This window comes from Homo sapiens, chromosome 13 (assembly GCF_000001405.40).
Source record: "Homo sapiens chromosome 13, GRCh38.p14 Primary Assembly".
Classification (NCBI taxonomy): domain Eukaryota; kingdom Metazoa; phylum Chordata; class Mammalia; order Primates; family Hominidae; genus Homo; species Homo sapiens.
Genome location: NC_000013.11, coordinates 45,903,183 through 45,913,191, shown reverse-complemented (window position 1 = coordinate 45,913,191; position 10,009 = coordinate 45,903,183). Strand labels below are relative to the sequence as shown.

The following is a 10,009-nucleotide window of genomic DNA, read 5'->3' as shown; positions in this document are numbered from 1 at the left end:
TCTGGTCCCACCTCTTGGAATCTCCAGTGTTTATTGTTCCCATCTTTGTGTCTGTGTATACCCAATGCTTAAGGTCCAACTTATAAGTGAAAACATGTGGTATTTGGTTTTCTGTTCCTGCCTTAGTTTGCTTAGCATAATAGCCTCCAGCTGCATCCATGTTGCTGCAGGGGATATAATTTTGTTCTTTTTTATGGCTGCATCATATTCCATGGTGTATATGTACCACATTTTCTCTATACAATCCACTGTTGTTGGGTATCTGGGTTGATTTCATGTCTTTGCTACTATAGATAGTGCTGCAATAAACATACTAGCGCAGGTCAACACTAAATTCAACAGATAAAGTGAAATTGTGGCCCTAACAAAATAATAAAGTGTGTTTAATGGAAAAATATGTTCTACTGCCTCTATTTTTAAATTTATGTTAAATTAAATTGTATTAAAACGTCAGATCCTCAGTTGAACCAGCTATATTTCACGTGATCTATACACGTGGCTAGTACTGGAAGCACAGCTTGAAGATGGTGCAAACTGGGCCTCTGGGGATAGCAGTTGGTAGAGTGAATGAGAATGTCTATGTCTCTGGAATAATGGTGATGATAGCAGTAGTAACTGTCTGGAGACCTCACAGAAAAGATGGAGGGCTTTGGAATTTGGAGAAAGCAAAAAAAGAAAATCCAGCTGGTTAGGATTCCTATTACAGAACCTCATATCCCTGGAATAACTCCTTTTCAGCAGTTATTACCATGCTCATTAATATATTGTTTGTGTGATGAGTTGCTTAGAGTCTGATTCATTTGCCAAGCCGTAAGCTCCATAAGGGTAGGAAATGCGCCTCTCTTATTCACCATAGTATCTACGGAGCCCAGCACCGTGCCTGCTACCAGAGCTCTTGGTACTGTTGAAAGAATAAATTCAAAAGCTACACTAAATCCTCTGAAGACAAGGTGGGGCAGAGTTTATGTGACTCTGGCCAGCATAAGCCAATCAGCCCAAACAGAGGGTTGACGTCTGAGCCAGACTGGCAAAGGCAGACTACGGTTTAGCTAAAAACACAGAACTACCAAACTGAGTAGAGTGTCTCCATTTTACAAGTGAAATAATTTGAGGTATCAGTAAGCCACGGTAACTTTTTAAGTCCTGATGGCCTACAGAACCCTAGAGGGTTTCCAGCACCCCTAACCTTGAGGCCACTCTCTTTCCCACACAGGCCCTGTCTTCTTCTGGGTTCCTCTTCTTTTATTTCCTCCAGTTACAAGGAAATCATGGCCAAGCAGGTCAGACTCTTAGTGAGTGATGGGGAACCACCACTCGTCAGTGTGGAGTCGTGTTAGTCTGGACTCTTCAGGGAAAATGATGGAAACTGAACTTCCCAAAGCTTAAAGGGGAACTCATCATAAAAGTACTGGAGTACAGGACCCTGGACGGGATAAAACTAGGGCAGCTGAGCCAGAAGCAGGTCACCAGCTGCCTTCTCCTGCTTTCTCTCCCACTCCTGTCTTCCCGTCTCTGTCTCTCTCCTTCTCTCACCCTCTCTCTCTGTCTCTCCCTCTCTCTGTCTCTCCCTTTTTCTGCAGACTGGCCTCCTTCCGACTTCAGCCTGGTGTGGGTAATACCCAGCCACCAGCAACCAAGCATGAGAGCCTCAGTTTCAGCCATGAGAAAGAGGCAGACAACTCTCTTGGATTCAAATTTCAGAATCCCACTGAGGGGCTCCTTTGACCCTGCCTGCCCAGGCGCCCTGCCCTGGATGAATTGATGGTGGCTAGGCCTGGGAAGTCCCAGCACTGTGACGCTAAGGACATTGAGGAGACTTTTCTTGTTGACCTAGATTTGTGAGTGCAGTTCCACTAAAGAATATGAGGTGTTAGTCCACCCACATTGTAAACACAGCCACCCTGAGAGTGCACTCAAGAGACTGCTCAAGTGGCCCTACAGCCCCCAGTCACCATGCCTGGTGGGATCCTCAGCCCATTCAAGGAGATGACTGGAGTGAGGGGAGGGACAGTCCCTGGGTGGTAGAGCTCCTGTGGAGTGAGACGAGTCAAGGGTGGGAAAGAGAGGCTTTCCTTCCCTCTGGCCAAGGAGAAGGAAGGCCCCAGAAAAACCCTCTAGCATGGCGGGCTGGGAAGGAGGGGGCCTGGATTCAGGGCCAGCTTCACAGGCAGGTGAGCTATGCACTCGCACAGAATGGCCCCACACTTGGTTTACTTCTCCTCTGTCACCATCTTGACGTTTTTAATATCTGTTAAACAATTCTGGGCTGGGCCCTGCAAACGGAGTGGCCAGTCCTGCTGGCAGTCCTTTCTCTCTTCAGATGCTGCTCAGAGCGCGGACATTCTATCCTGTGCCCGCATCAACAGGAGAAAGATGTCAGGGCAAAACAAGGGAGGCGCTGGGGCACACAGTCCTCCCACTCAGTTTGAAGTGGTAAGGACATGTGGGATTCCCCTGGTCCAGAAGACCCCGTGAAGGAAAACTGGCAGCAAAATCATCTTGTTCATACCTTGACCAAAGAAACCTGTCCTTGTGTCAAGGGACCCTGGCAGCAAGAGACTTGGGGCCTGTTCTGACGGTGGAGGCTGAAGTGGAAAAGGGCACCGCGTGGGGCTTAGCAAGCTCTTCCACACCTGGGAACTGAGACATAGAAAGGGCCTGCAGGGCTCTTCGAGGACTCAAAGTCTCTGGTGCTTCCTGAGGGCCGCCATAGGAGCTGACACACTGAGGGCATCCAAGGAAGTGGGTGTGAGGCCTGCCAAGAAGGGAACTGCAGCTGAGGCCCAGCAGAGAGGAGCTTGGCCCCACCTCTCCTCTCCCCAGTCATTTCTTCCAGCTCCCAAGGAAAGAGATGAAGGAGACATCCTCAGGCAGGCCCTGCCACCATTCCCATGGTGGGTCCTGGCACTTTTGGGAAAGGACAAGATGAGCTACGAAATGTCTCTGGCACGGGAAGCTTCAAACTGGGATGGAATGAGCTTGATAATCAGAAAGTGACCTGAAAGTCATGGGACCTGGCCTAGATGTTGTGAAGGGATCCTTTATGCAGCAGGGGTACCAGGCTCATCCCCGTAGCCTGGCTGGGGGTAGTGAGTGGAGGAAAACACTGGCTTTATGTATACAGATGGCACCACAGCACTCACGAGGAAGGGGCCCTGGTAGACCATGCGGAATGTGCCCACCCCAGAGGATCCGTCTCCAGGAGGGGTGGGGCCCCATGCCCCAGACTTGAGCTCACAGCCGCTCGGGGGCCCTGCTGCCCAGGGTCCTACAACCACATGGGAACGGGTGTTGCCTGAGACGGCTGCATTGTGCCTCCCTGTTGCAGACAGGCTGGGGCTCTGCTTTCAGGACAAGCCCACTGAACACATTGGCAGATGCCTGGAAGAGTGCCCAGGCATTTTTTCTGCATTGGTTAAGAGCCATGGCTCTCCAATGTTAGGGCCAACACCAGAACCTTCTGCTGGAAAACTTGCTAAAACACACATTATTGGGCTCCTGACCTGGGGTTTTGGATCAGAAGGTCTGGGGCGGGGCCTGAGAATTGGCATTTTTAACACATTCCCAGAGGACCACACCTACCTCACATCGATCTGCACATCTACCTTACCTTGGAGATCCACTTCTGCAGCCAGGGATCCTGCCACCCTCACCATACTTTCTAGGCTCAGTGGCCTGGCTGACCTCCTCTCCCTGAGAGCCACACCAGCCCCTAGAAGTGACAGCAGGGGCAAGTGGTTCTTTTCCCAGCCTGTGTGGCTGGTATACTGGAGCAGCAGGGACTCGGCACAGGTTTTATCTCCCACCCAGCTCTGCCCAACTCAGAGGTTCCAGCCCTTTCCTCCTCTGACAGTGTCTGCTAGGTCTGCCCTGGAGGTGACAGTGAGGCATGTGGAATTAGAGGGCTGGCAGGTGCCTCAGAAACCTGGCGTGATCCTTGGTCTCCACATACCACTCAATCTATTTTAAACCTCTAACATCTTAGTTAACATCTAAGAGTGAGCTTGTCACTGCTTCTGTTTGATCTATCTTCCACTGGCTTTTTTTTTTTTCCAATGATAAAATACATATAACACAAAACTCGTCCTTTCACCCATTCCAATGATTTTTTAAGTGCAAAACTCAGTGGTATTCAGCATATTCACATTGCTGTGCAACCATCACCACCATCCATCTCCAAAACTTCTATGCCCCAGATAGAAACTCAGTACCCATTGAACAATAATGCTCCATCCTCCCCACCCCCAGACTTAATTTCATTTAGCATGTCTTCAAGGTCCTTGCATATTGTAGCACGTGTCATAGTTTCATTCATTCGAAGGGTGATTAATATTCTATTGTAGACAGGCACACCACATTTCATTCATAGACTGACCAGCTGGTGGACACTTCCATTGTTTCCATCTGTGTGCTGTTGTGAAAAATGCTGATATGAACCTTGAGGTGCAAGGCATAGTCCCTGCTTTCAGTTCTCTTGGGCATATACCCAGAAGCGGAATTGCCAGAGCATAGGGTAATTCTATGGTTATTTTTTTTCTTTTTTTGAGGAGTTGGCATATTGTTTCCCACAGACATTGAATCTGATCACTCACCTAGGAATTGTTCACCAGAAACAAGGATCTCCTGAAAACCTCACCAGTATCTTCCAGGAAGGACTTGAGGTAGGCCTTTGCCAAGGGACTTACGGCTCAAAGTCAGTGTCGGAAGAGGCTTAACTAACCTCCTCACCTCTATAGGTGGAAAGCTAGCACTGCAGGGGACCCTGTGAGGACCTGGCACCCAATGCCCTCACTTTACAGAATGAGAAGATGGGAGCTCAGAGAGGTGAAGATGCTACACAACTCTGGATGGCTTCTTATCTGCCCAGGCCTCAATCCAAATGTCACCTCCTCAGAGACCCTGGCTATCCCGTCTAATGTAGTCCTCCCACCCTTAGTCACTCGCTAGCCTTGTTTTGTTTTCTGTGCGTTACAGTCTAAAATTATCTTACTATTTACCTCTTGTTTTTTCTCTGTATCCGCACATAGATGTAAGTTAGGGGAACTGGTACCTTATCTGCCTTACTAGGGCTCACCCCCAGCCTCTGGAACTGTGCCTGGCAGGCTGTAAGCACTAGGGTAGTTTTACATAAATGAATGAAATATGAATGCCTCACTAAAATGTATACACAGCTCTAATGTTTGCGAGAGAGATACACTGAGACCTTCCCAATTCTCCCAAGCATAAAATCTTCTCCCTAAAAATGAACAGCCAGTTTTTTAAAGACAGACAAAGCCACTCTGAGATGCTCGTTAAATGACTGACGGCAGCTCCTCCGTCCTTGCAATGAGTCTAAAGCTCAATGTTAACTCCGCGAATTCCAGACCTCTGCTGTCTCTGCAGGCTGGGCTGGATACGGAAGGGTTAACGTTCCCCCAGGGAGCTGAGGTCTTTGATTATGATCACACCGATAATTTTCTTTCCATTAAGATGTTGAAGCCTTTTGGCTGTTCTAAGGATGACAGAAATGGTTTTCTAAGTAATGGTTTCTTCTGGCATAAAAATGCTGTAGGTAATGGGAAGGAAGGGAGGAGAGAAAAGGACGTGGCCTCTCACCCCATCTCTGCATTCAATCGATGGTGCTGTTTCTGCTCCTGATGTTTTAATAGGACTCATCATGGATCGTGGCAGAATTGCCAGGAATGGCAGATGTGCTTTTACTATTTTTATTTCTGATTGAACACTGAACAGAGCACGGTGAGACTTTGTCCTGAGCCTGAACTAGAGCTAACTGGGGGGCGGGGAGGTGAGACCACCACAAGCCACACAACTTGCCCGGGACCTGGGGATTTCTGCTTGTGGCTTACTGCTCCCCTCTGCCTCCCCTTCCCATCCTCACAGGCCTCTGTCCTGGCCTCTCTCTTAGTTGCTGTGGCTCTGCCGAGGCTGAGCCTCCTGTCCCTGGCCAGGCTAAGCTGTCCATGTTCCCTGCAGTGGCGGTGGGATTGGAAGGGAAGAAGCAGAGCAAGCGACCCAGCCCAGAGGGAGTCATCCAGGGTGTGGCCTCTCGGTGGTCCTGCCCGGGTGACTGCCGGGATGGGGACAGCCCTGGGGCACCAGGGAGGAATGTCACATCTCCTTTCTCAGTCTGCTGTGTCTCTTCCCTCCTCCTCCTCATCAAGCCATACTCCTTCCTCCACGTGGCCAGCTCCTGTGAATGATTCTTTCCACCTGACTTAGGTCGCTGTACCCGCTGTGACTCCACTGACCTCATGTGTATTTATGATGGGCCTGACTTCTTTGAGGGCAGCATCTGCTTCTTCATGGGCCGTTCATGTATTTAATGCAAAAAAATGTTGGGAGGCCAAGGCGGGTAGATCACCTAAGGTCAGGAGTTCAAGACCAGCCTGACCAACAAGGTGAAACCCCATCTCTACTAAAAATACAAAAATTACCTGGGTGTGGTGGCAGGCACCTGTAGTCCCAAATACTCGGGAGGCTGAGACAGGAGAATTGCTTGAACCCAGAAGGCGGAGGTTGCAGTGAGCTGAGATTGCGCCACTGCACTCAAGCCTGGGTGAGGAAGTGAGACTCCATCTCAAAAAAAAAAGGGGGGGCGGAGGCTAGGGGTACCCATGAGGAGCTGTAGCCTAGGAGGCAAGGGCAGAGAGAAGCAACCAGAGAGATTGTGGGGATGCAGAGCAGTGGAGAGTCATGGGTGCTGAGGGAGGAGAGGACTTCAAGGGGAAGATAAGGCTGTGGAGTCCTACAGAGACACAGCAAGAGAGACTGAGAGACGGAGAAGGCACCAAAAGAGGTTTTGGGATTCAAGAATTAGAAAATCACCAGAGAACTTGGAAAGGTGGCAATTTTGTCACCATCACAAAGGAAAAAGCTAGATGGAAGAGTTAACAAGTGAATGAAGGATGGTTACCTGGGCTGGTAAGATGTCCCTTCAAATAGCTCACAGAATATACATGATGTGCCCATGTATTGAGACCTTCAGAAATACTCGTGTCCACAGCTGAACATGGTGGTTCATATCTGTAGTCCCAGCACTTTGGGACACCAAGTCCAGGAGTTTGAGACCAGCCTCGGTAACATAGTGAGATCTCGTCTATACAAAAAAAAAAAAAAAAAAAAAAAGAACAAACGTAGCCAGGCGTGGGTGTGTTGGCACACTCCTGTAGTCCCAGTTTCTTGGGAGGCTGAGGTGGGAGGATTGCTTGAGTCCAGGAGGTCAAGGCTACAGTGAGCTGAGATCGGACCACTGCACTCCAGCCTGGGTAACAGAGGAAGACCCTGTCTAAAAAAAACAAAACAAACAAACAAACAAACAAACAAAAAAACTCACATCCTTTGGCTCAACATTTTATTTCTAGGCATAGCATATAGACAAAGATGGAGGCATCAGGTTAGTTACCCCAGCTCTATTTATAATGATGAGGAAATGAAAACTGCCCAAGTATCCAACTTGAATATCAAAGATGAAATATCAGTTAACTGTTACCATTACTATAAATATTGAATCACCTAGGATTACAATATTATGTTAAACCAAACTACAGGGTATAAAACACTATATTCAGAAATCTGTAAAATAAAAAATTGGCAAAAAGTCTATCTGTCTGTCTGTCAATCTATCCACCTACCATCTATTTCTCTAGCTCCATAGAGAAAAAGACTAAAGAGGAAACCTACACGTTAGTAGTCAGTGGTTATGTCTGTACTGTGGCTTATGAGTGACTTTTACTTGCTCCTTTATATTTTTCTGTATTTTCCAAATTTCTGTTGTAGTTATGAGTCATGCCTATAAACAGGGAAACAGAAAAAGTTGTTCTTAAAATGAAATGAGCCTGTGGTGAAGGTAGAAGCAAGGAATGAAGATTGTCTTGTAAAAAGTCCTGCAGTGAAGTGACAAGAAAAAAGAAAACAGTAACTCAAGGGGTAGCTGGTTTGCAAAGGCTTGGCTTGGGGTTATTTTATTTTATTTTTTAGAGATGGGGTCTTGCTATGTTGCCCAGCCTGGTCTTGAACTCTTGATGTCAAATCCTCTCCAGCCTTGGCCTCCAAAAGTGCTGGGATTACAGGTGTGCACCACCATGCCCAGTTCAGCTTGGGCTTATTTTTGAAGATAGGATGCTATAGACCATCCTTTTAGGCAGAGGAGAATGCAATAGAGAGGGTGAAACTGAAGACTCAAAAGGAGGGCAGTCATTCACGAGAATGGCCCTGACTTCAAGTGGTTCTCACGCAGTCAGCTAAGCAACCAGGAGAGGCTGGTCTGGGAGGGAAGAAGGTCTGAAGCTGGGGCCATCGCTGCTGCCCAAACCAGCTGCACTCCCAGGTCCTCTTCTGCTAGAGGCTCTCATCTGCAGGTGCAGGGCTGCAAAACAGAGCCATCTTTGATGCCTTCCTCAAGGATCCTGTCTACTCTTCTTTGGGTGTCTCCTGTGCCCATCTTTTTCTTCCTATTCTAACTCCCACTGTGAGCCTCAGATCCTAACGTCTCCAAGAGATGACCAAAGTCCCTGCCCTTTGACCTCTGCCTCCAGCTGCCCCCGCTGCCCCCACCCCCATTGTGTTTGCTTTCCCTGGCTTGGGGTTCTTTGGCTGTGCTGTTACCTGCTCTTAAAATCTCCCCACTACCTTCTCTGGGCCAATTCTTGGTCATCCTCCAGACTCAGCTCCAGTGTCCCCTCCCAAGGAGGCCTCTCTGACTCTCCCACTCAGCTCCAACCTGTCCAGAGGATCCTTCCCTGATGTTTGTCCCGGCACTGAGCAGCCTGTGCCATGTGCCTTTACTTCTCTGGATACCCCATAAGATGGTGTGAAGATGGGGCCACGCATCTGATATCGCATCTGATATCTGGGACTCAGGGAATGCTTGGTGAGTTTTGATGAAGGAAGGAGTGATGCGCACAGCTTATTCCATTCAAGGAAATGATGGGGGGAAGGAACCAACATTTGTCTTATGTCTACTCAGGCATTGTACAAAGTGTAGTATCCTAAGTGCTTTGAATATGCTATTGCAATAAGTCTCAGATAACACAGGGAGGCAAAGGTTATTATTACTCTTTTGCAGATGAGGAAACAGGCTTAGAGAGGAAAATAGTTCCCTGGAATGTACCCAATTTGCACATAATTAGCACCCATAGCTAACTCCAAAGTCCCCATAGGGGCAGACTATGTCATCCCTCTATCTCCTTCTTCAAGAAACTTCCTGGTGATTGATTGCCACGCCTAGGGAACTAGAAAGTTATCCCTTTGCATAGAAGTTTAGGGTTTCTAACAAATAGCGTTGTATCATGCACACATCTTTAAACAGCTATTTCTTTTCTTCACATCAGGCTGAGAGATCCTCACAGGCAGGAGCTGTCTTATTCATCTTTCTACAACCCATGGTTCTTGGCAAGTGGTATTGTGTAAATATTTACTGACCTGATTATCAATCAAATTATTTGTGATTTATTAAGTGAAATAGGATGTTGAATTTTCTGGAGTTAGAGGAGGAAGTATTTTTGTGCAGATGGCCTATTCCAGCACTCATCAAATTATACTAGATGGGTCATTTTCTAAGCACAGGGCCAGCCCTGAGGCTGTAGAGAGAACACATTTAAATTCATGATGAATTCATTTAAAATTCCAGGACAAGAAATCTTTCAGGAGCACTAATGACATCCCCATTTAAAGCTAAATTAATTCTATATGGTTTAAATGTTATTATAGTGAAGTGCAAACGGACATAATTGTGATGAGGCCCTGCTTCTGAAAAGGAATCCATTAACAGAGTCAATCATCATAGTTTTGCTATTCATTAATATTACTTGACATCGATGCTACGTCACTCTTCTCAGTTCATTTAGTCGATACATATTTATGGAGCACCTGTTCCAACCACGCAGGGAACGGGGTGCTTAGAAAAACACAACAGAGATAGAAGGCGCAGTCCTGCCCTGTAGCTGCTCACGGCCCCACGTGTGGTCTCACAGCCTGCAGCCTCAGCATCCCCTGGGAGCTTGTTAGAAAT

General features: G+C 47.6%; 1 annotated feature.

Annotated features, from left to right (window-relative positions):
• Positions 5,383-5,934: an enhancer, noted in NCBI's record as "H3K4me1 hESC enhancer chr13:46481393-46481944 (GRCh37/hg19 assembly coordinates)". NCBI's record gives its function as "activates a minimal SCP1, AML or CMV promoter by ChIP-STARR-seq in primed H9 embryonic stem cells {active_cell/tissue: H9 hESC(primed)}" and the evidence as "EXISTENCE:reporter gene assay evidence [ECO:0000049][PMID:30033119]".